This window comes from Homo sapiens, chromosome 21 (genome assembly GCF_000001405.40).
Source record: "Homo sapiens chromosome 21, GRCh38.p14 Primary Assembly".
NCBI lineage: Eukaryota > Metazoa > Chordata > Mammalia > Primates > Hominidae > Homo > Homo sapiens.
This window is the reverse complement of record NC_000021.9, coordinates 34861192-34881126: the sequence shown is the minus strand read 5'-3', so window position 1 is coordinate 34881126 and position 19935 is coordinate 34861192. Positions and strand designations below refer to the sequence as shown.

General features: G+C 44.4%; 1 protein-coding gene and 1 long non-coding RNA gene across 18 annotated transcripts in view, besides 5 other annotated features; one reads left to right on the top strand and one right to left on the bottom strand.

The window, feature by feature from the left end:
* The window catches only part of RUNX1 (RUNX family transcription factor 1), a 261502-nt gene that overhangs the window by 168176 nt on the left and 73391 nt on the right, over positions 1 to 19935 (top strand). For all 17 annotated transcript variants that reach the window (XM_011529768.3, XM_011529767.3, XM_005261069.5 and 14 more), the window contains one exon: positions 414 to 570. In XM_011529768.3, the coding sequence (XP_011528070.1) occupies positions 414 to 570 (157 nt within the window). The remainder of the gene's footprint in view (positions 1 to 413; positions 571 to 19935) is intronic.
* RUNX1-AS1 (RUNX1 antisense RNA 1) overlaps positions 1 to 19935 on the bottom strand; it is a 48740-nt gene that overhangs the window by 3926 nt on the left and 24879 nt on the right. The window lies entirely within an intron of this gene.
* Positions 12554 to 13219: an enhancer, noted in NCBI's record as "H3K27ac-H3K4me1 hESC enhancer chr21:36240205-36240870 (GRCh37/hg19 assembly coordinates)". NCBI's record gives its function as "activates a minimal SCP1, AML or CMV promoter by ChIP-STARR-seq in naive H9 embryonic stem cells {active_cell/tissue: H9 hESC(naive)}" and the evidence as "EXISTENCE:reporter gene assay evidence [ECO:0000049][PMID:30033119]".
* Positions 13220 to 13887: an enhancer, noted in NCBI's record as "H3K27ac-H3K4me1 hESC enhancer chr21:36239537-36240204 (GRCh37/hg19 assembly coordinates)". NCBI's record gives its function as "activates a minimal SCP1, AML or CMV promoter by ChIP-STARR-seq in naive H9 embryonic stem cells {active_cell/tissue: H9 hESC(naive)}" and the evidence as "EXISTENCE:reporter gene assay evidence [ECO:0000049][PMID:30033119]".
* Positions 14628 to 15827: an enhancer, noted in NCBI's record as "P300/CBP strongly-dependent group 1 enhancer chr21:36237597-36238796 (GRCh37/hg19 assembly coordinates)". NCBI's record gives its function as "activates an origin of replication core promoter dependent on BRD2, BRD4, P300/CBP, MED14 and CDK7 cofactors, with strong dependence on P300/CBP, by STARR-seq in HCT116 cells {active_cell/tissue: HCT116}" and the evidence as "EXISTENCE:reporter gene assay evidence [ECO:0000049][PMID:35650434]".
* Positions 14868 to 15147: an enhancer, noted in NCBI's record as "active region_18403". NCBI's record gives its function as "activates an Ori minimal core promoter by ATAC-STARR-seq in GM12878 lymphoblastoid cells {active_cell/tissue: GM12878}" and the evidence as "EXISTENCE:reporter gene assay evidence [ECO:0000049][PMID:35858748]".
* Positions 15188 to 15357: an enhancer, noted in NCBI's record as "active region_18402". NCBI's record gives its function as "activates an Ori minimal core promoter by ATAC-STARR-seq in GM12878 lymphoblastoid cells {active_cell/tissue: GM12878}" and the evidence as "EXISTENCE:reporter gene assay evidence [ECO:0000049][PMID:35858748]".

Sequence of the window (19935 nt, the reverse complement as noted above, 5' to 3'; positions counted from 1 at the left end):
GACGGCATAGCTACTCAAAATCCTTGATATCTTGCTATGGTTAGTCTTGTTCCAACTGTGCTATGTGACCTACTATGGCTTTATGAGGTAAATTTAGTATATGTGTCACTATTTGAAAATTTACATATAGTTATACATAATGTATTAGGTTGGTGCAAATGTAACTGCAGTTTTTGGAGTTAAAAATTGCAAACACTGCAATTACTTTTGCACCAACCTAAAATATAATAAAAAAGTGTCTTCTCTTTATAACTTTTCTGTTGTTTTGCTTAAGTTATCATTGCTATTCCTCTGCAACCTAAAAAGAAATCATTGAATATACATTTAATTTTAGAATAATCACTACACAAATGCCCTAAAAGTGTATGTATAACATCCCTGATGTCTGCATTTGTCCTTTGACTGGTGTTTAGGTGGTGGCCCTAGGGGATGTTCCAGATGGCACTCTGGTCACTGTGATGGCTGGCAATGATGAAAACTACTCGGCTGAGCTGAGAAATGCTACCGCAGCCATGAAGAACCAGGTTGCAAGATTTAATGACCTCAGGTTTGTCGGTCGAAGTGGAAGAGGTACGTTATCTGTCAAAACTATGCTTGAAACACGTTTCATGGCAACAAACCCACATTTCAAAATTCTAGTGATTTCTGTGATGGAATCCCTAGAAACTCGGTCTGTCTTAACATTCTTATTGCTATGTCAAGCTCTTAAAAATATTTATTTGAAGTTTAATATTTTTAGCAGAATCTCTATATTATTGCTTTATGTTACTGAGTGGATTTAAGACTGATTTGGAACATGCAACGTAGGAATTGTGAATTTCAAAGAAACGCCTGAGATTTTTACTAAAATGCAAAAAATATAAAACTGACTTTAATGAAACTAGGATTATACAATTACAATGAGGATTCTCTCTTGGATAACAATACAAAAGCTATTTAATGGAAACTGTTGACGTATGATCTGTGGGCTATCTGTGAAAAGTGACAGAGTTTCGAATGACCACTTCTAATAATTTTAGGGATTTCTAGTGTATGATGTTGAAACATGGTTTCAAGCAAGCTTACCTTTTTAGAAAAAGACATGAAGAAATAATGTTAGTACCATTGATGGCAGTATGATCTTCCTGTTGTATTTCTTTTCAATGCCTTATTTAGGAGGAGGGGTTGGGCCTGGTTAGCATTTTAGATACTAATAATATTAGAGATTGGATTATCCAAGAAATTGTTGCATTACTTCAGCTCCATGTGTGATTTTATTTTTCCTTGCCTTTAACTCATTATCAAAGCATTAGAGCAGAAATAGGAATCTTGGCTTATTGTAATTTTTTCTGGTTTCCAATTATTTTCAAGTATTATGTTTTCTTTACATTGTAAGAACCAAATCATATTTTATAAATAGCAACAAGTAGTAAAAGTTTAGTTGAGGGAGGTAAGATAGTTTTTTAAACTCATTTTTTGTAATATAGTACCGATTAAGCTTACAAATAAGTTATTTCAAGTATAATAAAAAGACTTATGGTAAATACCTAAATAACAGTAATAGTTCTCGTATTGAAAAAAATGGAAGCACCAATCAAACAACATTTAAAATAAGAGAAATTATTACTCTTTAAAAAGGCATTTAAAAACAAGAAAATCTCAGTTCTCAGAGAATTTGATTAGTCAGAAAGGAGAAAGGGGTAAATGTGAGTTGATTATTTTGGTGATTATTTTTGCTATCCTAGCTATCTGGAGCATTTTCATAATAGAATCATAGCTGGAGAAAATAAAAAATTTATATAATGTGATTGAAAATATATATTCATAGTACTATATTAATAATAGGGTAATGCAAAGAAAATTATATCCACTTTTTGAAAGCATGAGTGATGCTATAAGATATAAAAGCATAAGTCATTAAATGGGTTCACTTGTTGTATTAAAAGTCCCCACCTTTCAGTAAATGGAATTTGCATTATGATTCAGAGATGTGTGTCTAGAAAACATCTTAAAGGCTTCGGATGAGTAGCTGGCAGAGTGGGTGAGAAGCCAATAAAAAACAAAGGCCCCACAGCCTGGTCCATGCCCATCGGCCTAGCTAACTCTCTTAATTCAGTTCTTGTGGATTTCTGCTGTTAGGAATCAATAGCTAAGTATCATTGAATTGCTTTTCTAGAGAAAGTGTTATCATCATACTATGCATCTGTGTGGGTCTTCAAGTTAGGTTTTGGTCATAAAAGTTTTAAAAACTATTTAGTGATCCGTGCCAGTGACATTTTCCCACAAGAAGTTCAGTAGTGGCTTTCCGGCAATGCACAGTAAACCAGTGATAATAAAAAAATGAGATTTTGAAAGCAGTGTGCTTTCTTTTCTGGCATTGATGGCTGATCTTGCATCCCTCATTGACCATTTCTGTTTTGAGTGGGTGACTAATAGGTGCTTGTGTTTACTTGGGTAACAGTGAACTGTTTCCCCAAGGTGTGGAGTGTTTGCATTTGGCTGCAGGATTCGTGCCAGTATGCCCTTGAGTTTGCATAAACCCCAAAAAGTAAAATAGCTGCAACCAAGGCTGGGCTGTCTTCCCATACTCTGGAATGAGAAAATTAATTGAAATGCCATAAACAGACAATATTTTGAACAGACTCTCCTTCCCACCAGTGATAATAAGCAATAAAAAATACGGAAACCCTAATGGAACATTTGACCCAATTGTAATTACTGTGGATATGAATATTGTTGGTCTTGAGATGTATATATATATGTGTGTGTGTATATATATATATATATTTTTTTTTTTTTTTTTAGTCAGCGCTACAAAAGTAAATGAGCTGTCTGAAGGCCCGATTTGACTCTGTCATAATTTCTTTCCATAGTCATAAAATATAACTTGATTTTTCTCTTTCAAGTGTAAGTGTCAACACCAAAGCCTGCCAGATTTTTTTCTTTCTTTTTCCTTCTTCTTCTTTTTTTTTTTTTTTGCAATTTGCTTCCCATTAGGAAGAGAGCAGATCATTCTGACTAATTTTAACAATTAGTCTTAATCTTCCTCACTGAATCTTACCTTTAACAGTTTCATTACGTTTTATTAAGTGATCTTAAGACAACTGTCTCATTTTCTGTTTTTGAAAATGTGCTTGAAAATATACCCTTGGCATGAACACACCACGCCATGGCTCAGAAGGCCCTGGCTCTTGGCTCATCCAAACTTTCAGTGCCAATTTTGAATTCTGTCAAAAGCCACCAGTCTGATGGATTCTCCAAGGGGCCTAGTAAGTGGTGCAAAATGAAAGGTAGAGAAAGAAGTTCTCTTTCTGTGACCAGCTGCCAGTCCATGGGGATTGTAAACCTCATAGAAACTGCCAGAGGTTGAACATGGAAGGGTTTTTCTCTGTTCTACAAAACGAATCTATCTGGGCGCTGGCTGCCATCCAGGATCACAGCTCCTAACCTCGGGTTCATTCCGTAACTGGGAAAACCTGCCTGTCCGGCTTTGATGGCCTCGCTGGCTACACTGGCCCTGTAGAAGCCTGAACCTTCTCTCTTTTCTTCCATTCCCTCCTTTTTCTCCTTGGCAGTTTAAATCTTGGTTCAGAGTGTATCTCACCCTTGGAATGTTTCTCTCTTTGATTCAGTATCTCCATGTAAATCGACCGCTCCTTTACAAAGGAGGAAGAGATAGCAGCTCCCAGGAGATGAGGGTTAGGGAGCTCTGGGGACCGGGCTGAACTCCAGAGGTCATGTGAGCACAGAGGTTATTGTTCAGAATAATTCACATTTTAGCCAAATGGACTGGGACTCCATGACACCCCCAAAAAATTGAAGTTCAGGGTCAAAAGGAATTCTCTTATGTGAAACGAATTCACTGAGCAGCTTATATCAGTTTACATCTGCAGTTGAGGCAAGTGCTACATCACCTGCCACCTTTAGAATGACAAGAAAGTGTATCATGGCTTCAGCTGAGAGAAATTTAAGAAATTTTAGCAATTGGTATCCGGGCACAGTGGCTCACACCTGTAATCCCAGCACTTTGGGAGGCCGAGGTGGGTGGATCACCTGAGGTCAGGAGTTCAAGACCAGCCTGGCCAACATGGTGACACCGCCATCTCTACTAAAAATACAAAAAATTAGCCAGGTGTGGTGGCGGGCGCCTGTAATCCCAGCTACTCAGGAGGATGAGGCAGGAGAATCGCTTGAACCCAGGAGGTAGAGGTTGCAGTGAGCCGAGGTTGCGCCACTGCACTCCAGTCTGGGCAACAAGAGCAAAACTCCATCTAAAAAAAGAAAAAAGAAAAAGAAATTTTAGCAATGAAATCTGTGACTGCTTCATCCCAGTTGGAGTATTTAATCAGTCAGAGAATAACTGATCAATCAGGAAATACAGCTTTAGTAATTTCATTTCAGAACCAAAGAAGAAATCTCTCCAGCTGCTTTATCAGCTGCATTGTTGCTGCAGGAGGAAAGATGGTCTACTGCACATTTCTTTCTAGTTTTTTCTTAGAATATGATTTTTAATCTTTGGGGAACATCATAGATACTTTTGAAAATCCTTTGGAAGGCTTTTTCCAAGGACAAAAAAAAAATGCACGTGTTCACTTACACACAGAATTACGTATATCATTTCAGTTTCTAGGCTACCAGAACTCATTTATGGACCTTCTGGGGATCCACAGACCCTAGGCCAAAAATTTGTGAATTTGGAACTTTGCATTGATCATGGAGGGCCAGCTTAGCCCTATGCCGCATATAGTAGACACCTGAAAATGAATAAATACATGTACAAATGAGCTAGACATTTTCTTGAACCTGTGCTGTTTTGGTAACACCTGTGTTTTTGTTATCGCCGGGGTCTGGTTTGTCTAATTAAGAAAGTAGATCTCCTTGAAACCACTGGCCAGGCCTTTGGATGGCCATCAGGTATGCCCACATATCATCACGGGTAAAGGGGAGGGGGCCTATTCTGTCATTGAAAGGACAGTCGCTTCCCTCGTACTGTGTCCACACCCAGCCCTGTAAGGCCAAGTGTTCTGTGGCCTGTCAGGATGGCGTTGAGTTTCTTGGCGGAATTTGTGTTTACATTGACCTCCCTGGCAGCTTTAATCTTGCCCACTTTCAAAATAGTATCCTTTCCCAACACATTTATACAATGAAATTCCTTCGGTATGTTCTTGCTGTGAATATCTTCCCAGACATAATATTTATCCTGTCACAATCTGGGTTATTGCATATTTGTGTAATGTTAGTTGCTTAAGGCATTTTCATTCTTAAATTATTCTACATTATTTGGGCTAAAGTGTGGGAGGTTGCCCTTCAGGTGAGTGGAAGACTGTGGTCAAGAGGAAGGGAAGGTACATTTAGGGAAGGATAAACGGTACTGATATTCTAAACAAAGAGACATGGCTTGGCTTTATGTAGCGGTTGTTACCAAGAGATGATCTGAATGACTCGCAGTATTATCGTAGGATCCCAGTCCTTCTCTATTCTATTAACAGATTCATATAATAGAAGAAGGAAAAATTCATCTGACCACCCCAGAGTTGTTTCACGGGTAATGTTCATGGTATAAACTGGCAGTCAGATCTCCTGGAGAGAATATAAGGAAAAGACATGAGTTATATTAAAATCAACTCTCCCATTTTCCCACTTTCTTCTGTTACATACTGATCTACACTTTAAAATAATATATATACTGAAATCTGTATTCAGATCTCATTGCAAGCAAATATAGATGAATAAAGACCCAGTCTCTGATATACCAAGCCTCAACCAGCCCTAACAAATGCTGCTTTTCGACGGGCAGGTCAAAAGCTTGCCTCCATGATCTGATGTAGAATTCATCTCTAGAGACCAAGTTTCTCATTTCGGTTTCACATTTGCCAATAAAAGGATAGCAACACTTTCCTAAAGCAAGTTGCTCCCTGCCCTGCTTAAAGCCTGGGGTGGCCCAGTCATGGCAAGGACCAGCAGGAAAAGCTTTCTTGAAAACTGCTTGTGCTTGCAACAGGCAGTTTCGCAGTTGATCCCTTCATAGTTTTCTTGCTGATTTTGTGAAGTGTCAGGCATTGCTGATGGCGTCACACAGCTTTTTTAAATTGAGGTTATTTGTATGAACAATATTTTATAGTTTGATGGGCAGAAGCTGTACTTCTCTCCACCCACCCTCAACCCCTTCCTTGCCAGCCGGCTTGTGTTTGGTGGAGGCATTTCTTTTTGGTCGGGACAGAAGACTATCAATCAGAAAGTGCCTGCAAGAGAAATAATGGTTGAGTGATTTTTAGAGCTTCCTGTTTCAGCAACAAGCATTATAGACATAAACAGTGATCCAGCCAACGGCTGCAACCCTGCTCTGGTTCTAATAAATCAGTTTTGTATTTTCTTTTTTGTGCTGGTTGGCAAGGGGCAAGAGAGGGTGGAGAAGGTTGGCTAAAGAAGAACATATTCTGTGTTTCTGGTTTTTTTGTTGTTTTTTTTTTAAGGAAAAATTACTTGTTGACAAGGAGAGATGGTGTACTGTCTTTTTTTTTTTTTTTTTTTTTTTTTGAGACAGAGTTTCCCTCTTGTTGCCTAGGCTGGAGTGCAGTGGTGTGATCTCAGCTCACTGCAACCTCCACCTCCCAGGTTCAAGCGATTCTCCTACCTCGGCCTCCCAAGTAGCTGGGGATTACAGGCATCCACCACCACGCCTGGCTAATTTTGTATTTTTAGTAGAGACGAGGTTTCACCATGTTGACTGGGCTGGTCTTGAACTCCTGATCTCGGGTGGTCCACCTGCCTTGGCCTCCCAAAGTGCTGGGATTACAGTCGTGAGCCACCGTACCTGGCCGGTGTACTGTCTTAAGGCTGTTTTCTTTCTGTAGATGATTATGACACAAGTTCAGATCAGTAAAGAGATGTTTATGAATAATCATATACTGTCAATATGGGGAGAGTGTATGCTTTTGAAGGCTTCATTGATTCTTAGCCAGTGGAGTGTGTGTGCGTGTGTGTGTGCGTGTGTGCAAGGGGGAGAGAGAGAGAGAGAGAGAGAATGAGAATATCCATACTTCCATTGAGAGACTTCTTGGGCCAAATTATCTTTGAGGACTAAATTCATGCTAATAACATCTTCTCATCTAAAGCCCAAATAAAGCAATTAATGGAAATTAATAAGTGAGCAGTGTGGATTTAATGAGCTGCCTATGAATACTATGACATGCGCTCGTTTTGTCGGCTCCCTGGCGGGGCATGGGGACAGATCGCAGCACTTCAACGTCTGTATTTATAAACATGCATTCCTGGACTTCAGGCAGCGCGCATACTCCATCATTGGTTCTGCTGTGAGTCCTACATTCAACGGAGATGTATTTTGATCTCTGTTGAAGACAGAGCAATCGACGGCATTCAGTTTGCACTGCACTGATTTGGGATTCCAGTACATTGCCCAGTCCCTGTTAGTCTATATTGGGCAGCATGTCCCATTCAGGAGCTCCATTTGACATCACCGAACGTTCTCCAATGAAGGTGTCAGGCAGTTGAGGTCCATAGAGGAATCCCAGCAACTTCCTTTGAGAGGCTCACGGCCATTCTGCTGCTAGACTGAAAATGCGTTTCCTCTGATTTCCTTAGTGAGGAAGCATTCATTTAGGAGCCATTTAAACTGTGTTTTTCTCAAAGAAGATGTAAGTACATTTCCTGTTTATTTCTCAACTTAGATTAATTTGGGCTTTTACCTTGAGATTTAAGACCATCATTAAGAATGTATGGGCAGGGCCATCTGCAGAACTACCCCACCTCCCCCATCACCTATCCCAAGGACGTGCCTGTCCAGTTAATAGGAGGGCTGGCCAGCACTCTGGGGTGGTGTATGGCCCTAATTGAGTCACCGTATGCAAACCAAGGTAAATCACAGGAATATGGGCAGATTGAGCATAATTGGTCATCTGTGTGCTCATCAGATCTCTGGAGGTGGAAACACTCCAGTTTGCTCAAGGCATTGGGTTGGGGTCTTTACAGATTTTTTTCCTTCATTCTATTTGAAACTATTGTATAGAGGATAGTCAGTATTAATCATCTATCTTTCTATCTATCTATAATTAGTAAGGAGCTAGTCTAACTCACATCATAATAAGGCTTTGTCTGCCTCTTTAAATGGTGTGTCTCTAGTACCTAGGACAAATGTCCTGCCTTCATTATTCTATCTGAAACCACTGGGCAGTTTATTATCAGTATCTTGTCTCCCTGCTTATCAATTTTGATCATAATCTTGCTCAGTGTTTCCCAGCTGGGGTGATTTGACTCCCAGAAGACATTTGGCAATATCTGCAGACATTTTTGGTGGTCGTGTATTGGGTTGGGGAGTGCCGGTGGCATCTAGTAAGTAGAGGCCAGGGATCTACTAAACGTCCTACCATGAACCTGACAGCCTCCCCAACAAAGACCCAAATGTCAGTTGTGCTGAGATTGAGAAACTCATCTAGCTCCAGTCATGCGTGATCTCGCCCTGATCATGCATAGGTTGTAAAATGTTTCCCTTGCCCCTTTTATTCTGACATTCTGCCTCCCTACAAACTTATCAAAATGTATGAAAAACTTATTTTAAATTTTATGAAAAACTTATTTTTAAAACATTGCACAGAATAAAAAATAGAGAACATCACTGAATATTAAAAGTTTTTTTTAAAGGGAAAACAGCAGTGTTCTGTATGCATAGAATTGCACCATCCCCCTGGCGCCACTGACCCTGCCTGCTATCCTGGGTCAGGGATGTGCAGTGGCTGGAGGAGTGGCTGCAGGTGGGGGTGGTACACACAGCAGGGCAGCTTCTCCGAGAAGGCTCCCCACTGTAGCCACCCCCTCATGAATGTCACACAGGTGAGGTCCACGAGGACTGCAGAAACTAGGAAGCCCTCTGCCAGAGGCTCACTGCTTTTCCCTGAATACTTCAGCAGAGAGTCCATGGAGCCACTGATCTAGGAATGGGAATTGATGTCAGTGGACAGTGTCCACTCATATTAAAAAAGTGATAAAGAGCCGGGCATGCTGGCTCACACCTGTAATCCCAGCACTTTAGGAGGCCAAGGCAGGAGGATCATCTGAGGTCAGGAGTTTGAGACCAGCTTGGCCAACGTGGTGAAACCCCATCTCTACTAAAAATACAAAAATTAGCCAGGAGTGGTGGCACATACCTGTAATCCCAGCTGCTCTGAAGGCTGAGGCAGGAAAATTGCTTGAACCAGGGAGGCGGAGGTTGCAGTGAGCCGAGATTATGCCACTGCGCTCCAGCCTGGGTGACAGAGCAAGACTCCGTCTAAAAAAAAAAAAAAAAGTGATAAAAGCAAGGTCTTGGTGTGTGTCACTGACAGACAACTCCCAGACACCAAAATGGCTCAGTCTGCATACCCTAAATAAAAATGAAGGCACTACGTGGCAGGAGGGGAGACAGGACCAAGGTTTGTGGGTTTGCCGCCCACAGGATGGGCTTGCAGATGCCACCCGCAGACAGATGGCTGGGTTCCTCTGGAGCTTTATCCCACCTGCCCCAGCATGTCAGTTTTGCCATCACCGGTTTTTACACTGAGATTCAGGGCACGATGATTTGAAAACAAAAATCCGTAGGGAGACTCCCCTAGGTGTTCCCAGTGCATCAAGGTAGAGCCTGCTGCAGGTTGAGTTTCTGGAATAGGTCAGGCTGTGTCTGCTTTGTTTGTTTGTCCGTTTCCTTGCTTTTGTGCTGCATGGGGACCCTCACGCCTAATTTTCCTTCTCCGTGTATACATCTGCTTCCTTTAAGCTCCCTACAGTAGAGCAACGCTCCTAGATTCGACAGAGATCACTTGTGTGTCATGTAATCTGTGACTAGTAAGCATTAACTATCCAAATGGGAGTTCGTGGACGGTGTCTGAGCCAGGGACTGCACAGAGCTCACGAGTTGCTGTAGGTGTGCTCTAGAGAGAAGGTCACTGGGGAAAAAGCTTGAAAACAGCTGTGGCATGCAAGGGTGTGTGTAGGAACGGAGACCCAAGCACTGTGGAAAGGAAGATGTGCTCAGGAGCCCCGAGGAAGTGGGCTCACAGGAATTTTCCAAAATCAAGAGATCCAGCCTTTAACTAGAAAGCTCCAGGTGGTATCATGAGTGACATTAGATGATGCCTGATACATGGTCTGTGAATGAATGACTGTTCAGGACTGTTTGTTTTTTTGTTTTTGTTTTTTTTTGAGATGGAGTCTCGCCCTGTCACCAGGCTGGAATGCAGTGTCGTGATCTCAGCTCACTGCAGCCTCCGCCTCCTGTGTTCAAGCAATCCTCCTGCCTCAGCCTCCCAAGTAGCTGGGATTACAGGCTTGCACCACCACGCCTGGATAATTTTTGTATTTTTCATAGAGACGGGGTTTCATCACGCTGGCCAGGATGGTCTCGATCTCTTGACCTCGTGATCTGCCTGCCTCGGCCTCCCAAAGTGCTGGGATTACAGGCATGAGCCACTGTGCTGGGCCCAGGACTGTTTTGATGTTAGGCAGTACAGCCTAGTGGTCAGCACGTGGACTTTACTGGCTTCCCCACTGTGTTTCAACTTGGGTGTTGCTGACATTTAGGGCCAGTTATTCTTTGCTGTGAGTGGCTTTCCTGTGCATGGTTGAACATTTAACAGCACCCCTGGCCTCTACTCAGGGGCTACTAGCACCCACCCTCCTGGTTGTGACAACCAGAAATCTCTGAAGCCATTGCGTCATGTCCCCTGGGGGCAAATCGCCCCTGGTTGAGAACCACTGGCTTGGAGCTATCTGTCCTTGAACAAGCTACTTGACCTGTCTAAGCCTGATTTTGCCCTTGTCTGTGGGAAGACAGAGGGACAATGAGGATTGATTACCTGAGACAAGACATAGGTTAGGAGTTGTTACTTTTTGCAGTGACACCAACACCATGGGGCAGACAATGGGGACTCTGTGAGTGCATAGCAAACAACAGCAAACAGCAACAACAACCAGAGGTCTGCTTTTTTTGTTTGTCTAAATGGGTGAGCTTCCAAGGAGGAAACACAATCCTTATCCTTATTTCAGGGCCCCATACGGTTCTGTGGTCGTGAAAGGGTTATATGCGGCAGGCCCTGAGATTCCTGTTAGCAATAGGAGAAACGAAATTAAATATGTACTGTAATTTGAAGCACTGCTTTTCATGGGAAAAGAAGTTCTCCCAACTCAGCCTTTCCAACTCTTTTGTCCAAACATTAATGGCATGCAAATATTTATGATTCATATGTGCCCCTTTTAATTCCCAATCGTATTTTAACAGTAAACACTTCATTTTAATAATGAAGCAGAATAATCCCTTTGTCCTGTCGCTGGGTTACACAGGCTGGCACCTGGCAGCATCACATTCTTCCTGAGTGATCATTGCTGCCTCCACCCAAGTTGAAGGGGTTTTGTAGCAGTGCCACGGCAGCTCGCCTTGGACTACTTGAGGACTTCCGGATGTTCCGCTGGAAGCCATTCTTAAGGTTGTGTCTCAGCATTTTCATAAACTGCAAGTGAACATCCATGCATATTTTTCTCTTTTGGCCACGTATAAACTCAGCACTGGTTCATCTGGCTGTCACTTGGAAGGGTTCTTACTACACTATTATCTTGCATTCTGGCCAAATCCCTGAACTCTAGATTACACCGAACCCATTGTGTCCTATTTAATATTCCTTTGATTCGTAATGATGACATAGAAAACACACACATCTATTAGCGATGATTCTGTGAGTCCTAGAAAAGTAGCATAATGTAATATGAGAAGAGGGCACACCTGTAGGACTCAGATGTGCCAGCCTCAGTCTCCCCATCTGTGTTCAATAGGTTTAAGAGTGCCTTTCATCTATGACTTATATCATCTATGTTAGGATGATAAAAGCGAGATGGTGTGTATGTAACTATACTTAGGAAGAAGAGCTAGGGCCCCTCTTGATGATGTTCTTCCTTCTACAGCGAGAATCCCTGAGGGAGGAGGGGAGAGAGCAAGCCAGAGGCAGCATGGGTCTTGCTGAATTTGAAAAGTTGGGAATGATGCTGTTTTTCAGGGCCCACTCCTCGATGGCAAGGAATTTATATTCCTTGGTCCTGCTAAGGGCCTACTAAAATGAGAGTGCATGAGATAACAGCAGGCATTCCATAAGTATTCACAAGTAAAAGCCTATGTAATAATAATATAATTACAAACTTTTATTGGGCATTGACCCTGTGATGGAAATATAGTACCTATTCCTGTTTTATTAGAACTCTCCCTCTGCCCCACCCCCCAAGGTCATTTACTAAGGGCATTTCTTTCATTCATTCATTTATCAGATATACATTGTGCACCTACTGTGTGCCAGGAACTGGGCTAGCATGAGAAATACGACGGTCAGCCAAAGAGAACCCACAGCCTTGGGGGCTAGTAAGGAACATGGCAATTAAGTAGGCCATCCCTGTTGTGAGTAGATAACACATGATAGATGGGTGTGGCGGGAGCCAAGGCTCAGAGGTACAGAACCTGGTGAAGGTTCAGAGGGTCTCCCTGGACCACTTGTCATTCACTTGAGACCTGCAGGTGACAAGGAGACTAACCCGGTGGAGGCATGAAGAATCATGTCCCAGCAGAGAAAGCAGAGTGAGGAAGGAGCACCTGGCCTGTTGGGAGCTGAGAGATGCTCCAGTGGCGGTGGTTGGGGAGTGATGGCGGGGAGCCTTACAGAGAGATAGGGCGGGGATTGCCTTAACATCCACGTTGGGAATTTGGTCTGATCCTAATGAAATGGAGAACCACTTATAACTAACTCCAGATACAAATTGTGGAAAGATACTTGGCTTACAGTTTAAAGAATGGAAAGGACATTTGGAGGGTGCGTGGGGAGCTTAGAGACCCATCCAGAGACTGAAAGCTCTCCTTTCTCCTTTCAAGCAGCGCCAGGCATGTGTATATCCAGCTTGCAAGGACCCCATTTGGTAGATGGCACTGTACCTAGAAGTCAGCTCCCTCCTCAAGCTTGCCTCAAGCTTCCCTCTCTTCCCTCTCTACCTCCACACTCACCTGCCTTTCTTCCTACCTGCAGTGGCAAGTGCTGCAAGGCTGGTGAGCAGGAGCTGACGCCCCCCAAGCCTTCCTTCCCTGAAGAATGTCCATGCCTCAGGCCTCCCAGCTGCAGCTCTGTGTGGCCTTGGGCTGTGTGTTTGAGGCACCCGGCTAGGGGCACTATCGGAATCAGGAGGAGGCCAGGCCCAGGAGGTCACTTTGGTCACTTGCCCTGTGTGACCCCAGCCCAAACACACAGCCTGATGGATGAGTGAAGACTGGTAAATCTGGTGGCTGTCCTTGGGGGAAGCACAGGGCAGCAGGTGTGGCCTTGGTCTCCAGGGGGCTGCGAATTCAGGGTTTTGGGGTGTTTTGGTTAAAACTTGGTTCCCCAGCTGAGATCCTAGGGAACTGTGGTATCAAAAGGAAAAGGAAGATTAGAAAGGGAAAATGAAATCTCAGGAAAGGAAATGCAAGATTGCATGAGAACATCATGGTGTTTTGTGGGATAGGTGATATTCTGCCAAATAAAGAGGCCCGCCCCTCCACTCCTTTTGCAAACCTGAGCTTTTCCCCTGCCTGCAGTTGAGCCCAGCATACCTGTGCCTTGGAAAAAGCAAGCTATGCCTTCCAAGTGAAATTCGACGTTGTAAAGGACTGGCTGTCAAACTGAAAGTTTGCAGAGTGATTCATTGATTTTTAGAGACAGGGTCTTACTCTGTCACCCAGGCTGGAGTGCAGTGGCGTGATCTCGGCTCACTGCAACCTCCGCCTCCTGGGTTCAAGTGATTCTTGTGCCTCAGCCTCCCAAGTAGCTGGGACTGCAAATGTGTGCCACCATGCCCAGCTAATTTATTTTATTTTATTTTTTATTTTTATTTTATTTTATTTTATTTTTTATATTTTTGGTAGCAATGGGGTTTCACCAAGCTGCCCAGACTGGTCTTGAACTCCTGAGCTCTAGTGATCCTCCCGTCTTGGCCTCCCAAAGTGCTGGGATTACAGGCATGTGCCACCATGCCTGGCCTCATTTATCAAACTTTTCTTTATTGCCTCAGAATAGAAGATACAAAGATGAATAAAATTCTGTCCCTGTCCTCAAACAACTCATTTTCATAGAACATCTCCAGAGAAAATGCTTTGCATGTCTTCGGTTTTCTCCAAGTAAAACAGCTATTTTTCAAACAATCCATAATTCCAAACAAATGCCATTTCCATGGAAAACTGAGTTCTATATTCTAAGGACCTGATTTTCAGTCTGACTTTTGAGGGTAGTCCTGGTGCCAGTAGCTTAGGCCTCAAGTCTGCATTTTGCATGTGTGATGTGAGTGCGATTGGATCAAGCAATCTGCAAATACAGGCACTTTGCACACAAGTATATACAGTACGCCGACATCTTAATTCAATTCAGCATGGAGAATCAGGAAATTATGTGCAAGTTGAAGGATTTGTATCCCGTCCAGAAATCCCCAAATAAATTAATTATACAACTCCACTGTCAAAAATAGTGGCAAATGTTTGGGTAAGGAAATGGAAGAGGAGCATAAGCATGAATTTTGGCTGTTAGGTTGTTCCAGTGGAAAAGTGAGAAATCAAAATTAAAAATACTTCATAAAAAATACTCCAAATGCAGACTACTCCTGGAATCCGAGGGTACGTTAATTTTTATACTTAGTTATCCGCAATTAAAATTAGACCCAAAGCCATCTATTGTAAAAGGAGAAATCTCCCTGCAACCTTTCAGGATCTTGTGGGATTTCCTGAATTTGCAAAGAGCAGAACCTGAGCCTTCACTGACTCTCTTGGTTTTTAAAAGCTGCGATGTTTTTCTTTTATTTTTCCTTTCTCACTCTTTGGGCGTTTCAAGACTCTGGGCACAACTGGCTTTCCTGCAGACAAACACAAGAGTGAAAAATGTTGCGATTGTGTTTCCTAAGGACTCTGAGCCCCCAGGGCAGACGGCTCCTTTGTGTCTGCAGCCTTCCTTTGCGTGACAAAGGGCAAGTTTCACATCCCCTGAAACTGTCCCCAAAAGAAGAAGATGACTCATGCTTACAGACCTACACTAAGGAGAGTGACAGGAACAGAGTCTGCTGCAGAGCCAACTCAGGTAGACCGGGGATACCTGCAAACTAGACCTGAGGAGGCCGAGTCACAACAGGAGTCGGGGCTCGCCCGTCAGACACGGGGTGTTATAGGAGGATTCTGCTCTGATGTGGCCTGGATGCACTTTTAAATATGTTCTTCACACCTAGGCAAGAAATGACCCCGAGCTGCATGTCTTTTTGCTTTGTAATCTCCTTGCCACCCTCAGCTCTTTGGGGAGCAGTGTGCACATTTGAAGCAATCCTGAGGTTTAGCCACTTCCCAGATGTGGTGAGGAAGTGGAGAGTGCGCTGGGCCATGCGGAACTGCAGGTTCCAGCCGTGGCTTTATTTGACCACAATTGGCTGTCAGAGTTCACCAGCCCCAGGGCCGCCAACGTCAAGACTAATCAAGCCTAGACCTGGGGCCTCCCCGCTGACTGGCCCTGGGGAGTGTGTCATGGCAGCGAGTGTCCAGGAAGACTCACCCCTTGACCTTCTTCCCAACTAAATAAAGCAGTTAGTATTTTGCCCTGGCATTTGGATGGACACACTGGCGTCGAGGGAGACAACACATGTTGCAGTGAGGAGCACTGGCCTGGCTTGTTTACATAGCATATCAGCCACTCACAGTTGTGCCTTACAAAGGTCGCCAGCTGGCGGGGCAGGAGTGAACTTGAACTTGAAGTTCAAGTTGCGTTTAGGCCTGGTAGCAGCCCCATCACCTGCTGAACACACACACACACACACACACACACACACACACACACACACACACGCACAAAACCCCTCCTCATGTCAGACGTCAGTGCCTACTTCATCCCCAGCTCCTTCTTACGGGATCTGTCACAGCTCTGGTCTTTGTGGAATCACCTTTATCATGTCTTTAATGATCATTCCACTGACATTTACTGAGACCTTTCCCTGTGCTCTGCTTGTATATTCAGCATTCCATTTAACCTGCAGAACAATGCTACGAGATGGAATGACTGTTATTAACCCCCTTTTACAGATGACAAAGCTGAGGCCCCAGAGAGGTCAAGTAACTTGCCTGAGGTCACACAGCTAGCAAGTGGCAGAGCGAGGTTTTGAACCTAAGTAGGTTGCCTTGAGAGTCCACACTGAATGAATCACCACTGTGTTTCCACCTTCATGGGATTTTATATGGAATTCTTCTCTCTCACTGCTTCCAAGCCTACATCAAGACAAACCTCATCTGCCCTGTTGTTTTTTGTTCTCACCTTCTTATTCAGTATGAGTGTCGTTTGGTGCTTCTAATGGTCTTCTAATGGTCCTCCTGGAACCCAAGCCCTGGCTGGAACTGATGCTGCTGTGGTGGTCAGGGTTCAGTGAGCAGGAGGAAGGACTTGGTGTTTACCCCTTGTTTACCCCTTTCCTTGGCTTCCTTCCATGCAGGCCACCCTGTGACCCCGTGGTGGCCCCCTCTGGAACCAAGAGCTGCCGACTTCCAGCAGCACACACAGGATCAGTGCTGGGGCCATCTGTGCACTGACCAAAGCCTCTGCTGGCCTCACCAGACCAAGGCCAGTGAGTGCTTCAGGGAGCCTTGGATCCTCCAGGCTGCCAACAGAAACACCGGCCCTCTCGGCAGCAGCCCCATCCTTCCACCCCTGCACTGGGTCCTGAAAAGCCCATTTTGGGGCCGTTGCTATTTAGCCAACCTGCCCTCCCTTGCTCTCCTGTGATTTCTCACTATTCCGGCTGCAGCTCGCTGGGAGAAACACTTGAGAGTCTTTTGTGCTCCACACCCATGTACTTAAAATACCAGGCCTATAGGTCATTTCAATGAGGGAATTTGGCTCATAACACGTGTGCCCCGAGGCACAGATCCTACTTCTGCAGATGCTGGCCAAGAAGGGCTGTGTCCCAGCCGCCATGGGGTGGGGCCACAGAGAGGGCAGGGCCACGTGGAGGGCAGAGCATGTGGCTCCTGTCAGGTGCGCCCGTTGCTGACTGCAGCCCAGTATCAAGGCTCTGCTGGGTCTCATTGGAAGAATACAAAGGACGTGTAAGGCAGTTTTCGTGCTGTGGAAAAATGTCACCTACACCTGTGAAGAAGTCATCACTGTGTCTGTAAGATAATAAGCAAATGTCCTTGTACCCAAAGCTGTAAACAAGAGCCCTTTGTGAGGGAGAACCACATGACTGGCCAAAACGCCCCACCTACTAGTGTGTGCTCGGTGGAAATGTCTTGTGACTGTGCTTAAAATGAAGGGCATGATTGGGAGGCCAAGGTGGGCGGATCACAATGTCAGGAGTTCGAGACCAGCATGGCTGACATAGTGAAACCCCATCTCTACTAAAAATACAAAAAATTAGCTGGGTGTGGTGGTATGCACATGTAATCCCAGCTACTCGGGAGGCTGAGGCAGGAGAATCGCTTGAACCCGGGAGGCAGAGGTTGCAGTGAGCCGAGATCACGCCATTGCACTCCAGCCCAGGAGACAGTGCAAGACTCCATCTCAAAAAAAAAAAAAAAAAAAAAAGATGGGCATGAAATAATGAGAATTCAGATAATGACCATTCATTTCACAAATTATCACTTTGATTAAGTTTTACTCCTGATTATATAGGTTAGTCTGTGGTTTACCAGATGGGGTGTCATGAGTGCTCAACTGCCAGAGGCCCAAACGCAGCTCAGTAAGAAAATGCTTTTGAGCTATAACCCAGGTTGAGTACCATTGGTACATTAGAATCACAGAGTCAGATTTTACTTTTTGGGGCAGTGGTAGGTGTGGATAAAGTATCTCCAGTCCAGATTTCTTGTACTGGTGCTATTGGGTTTGCGGGTGGAGATTTATGACCTCAGGGATAATAACCGGAAGAACAGTGAGTAGAAAGCTCAGGGATATGAGTTTTGCTGTATATCAAAGCTGTGTGACTTTGGGAAAATTACTTAACCTTTCTGGGCCTTAGCTTTGCTACCTATTCATCAAGAACAATAAAATCCATCTTGTTTATTTCATGAGATTGGTGTGAGGACCAAATGAAATAGTATATGGGAAGGTGTTTAAAAAGTTGTAAGTTCTACACGACTTAAAAATGCCAGTATTATGAATGCAACCATTCTTTGTTGTCATTTGGGTAGTCGTGGATAGCGTGGTGGTAGGAGAGCCACTATCGGAGCAAGACTGTTCCAGAGGGTAAAACACACGCGTGCCTGTAGAGCAGTTGTCACTGGTAGAGCCATGATGGGAGCTCTTACTACATTGCTATTTGTACTGAGTTAAATAGTGTTCTCCAAAAAGTGTATGTCCACCTAGAACCTTAAAATATGGCTTAAGGTCTTTACAGGTGTAATCGAGATAAAGTCATACTGGACTTGGGTGGGCCATAAGTCCAATGACTGATGTCCTTCTAAGAAGAGGGAGGGGACACCCAGTAGGAAGACAGTCATGTGAAGATGGAGGCAGAGGCTAGAGTGCTGCAGCTGCAAGTCAGGAAACGCCAAGAAATGCTGGCCACCATCCGAAGCGAGAAAGAGGCAAGGATCCTCCCTAGAGCCCTCAGGGGGAGTGTGGCCCTGCTGCCACCTTGATTTGGGACTTCTGACTTCCAGAATTGTGAAAGTCTTAATTTCTATTGTTGTAAGCCACCCAGTTTGTGATAATTTATTACAGCAGCCCCAGGAAACAAATACAGTATTTTTATGAAGTCACTGAGGTGCTAGAGTTGTAGGCAACAGAAGAATCACACGTGGACCTGCCCGCCTGCACATGGCTATGGGCATCTCAGGCCAGCTGCATTCTTGGAAGATGAAATCAGAGAGTTGAAAGGGACATTGCATGCATCCCATGAACCCCCCTCATTTTGCTGATGAGGAAACTGAGATCTGGAGAGGTAAAATCGTTTGTATTGCATCCCCAAACTTGTAACTCTCTTGCTGAAAGAACCACCTCAGTCTCTCTCTCTCTCTCTCTCATACACCCACATGCACCCCTAGACCTACTCAGGACTGGGACAATGGCATTATCTATTGTTGTGTCCTCAAGGGACTTTTTTTTTTTTAATTTTAAATACCCCCTCTCTCCTAAAGCCCCTTCCCACTTGCACCCTTTCCCACCTTTCTGTGAGGGCTACATGGGTATATAGAAAAGGGTCCCCACCTTCTGGGAGACTAGGTCTACACAGCCGCAAACTGCATTCAGTATGACACCCTAAATAATCAAAGGTGAAGGATGATTTATGAGGCAGCCCAAACAGCCATAAAGCAAAATGTAGTCATCAAGGAAGGCTGCCTGGAAAACAAGTGACTGAGTGACTGCCCGTTGCCAGATGCTGAAGGGCAGGAAGACTCGGGTGAAGGGTGCAGCAAGGAGCCTTGGATTGGCGAAGTGGCTGGAGGAAGGAAGACCTCAGCATCTCAATGCCATGGCTCATGGGTAGAACTCGGAGGGTGCACACTGGGAGTCAGGTATGCGGAGGAGAGGGGGTGAGTGAGAAATTACTTGGGGCAGGGTCTTATTAGTGAGAAGATCCTAAAAGCAGGTTCTGGAGTTCAGTCTTGATGATACAGGTGATAACCTTCATGGGTTCTTGACAGAGAGGGAACAGGCTGACCATGAGGCTTGTAGGACAATCTGTTAGTCAGCTCTGGAACATGTGGATGTGGCTGCTCCCCGTCTGTGGCTGTCATTGCTCCTGGATCTGTTCTTGGAAAGCCAGAGACTGCCCAGTGAGATGGGCAGTTGCCCCCAGGACCTGCCTCCCTCTGCGGCAGCATCTTCCTCCACATCACATCACATACCCTGCTTGCTGGGCCTGGCCAAGGCCTCTTCTACCCAGTCCTCTCCTTCAGCTAGATGCCACGGTAGGAAAGCATCCAGAGTGTCGCCTGATAACATC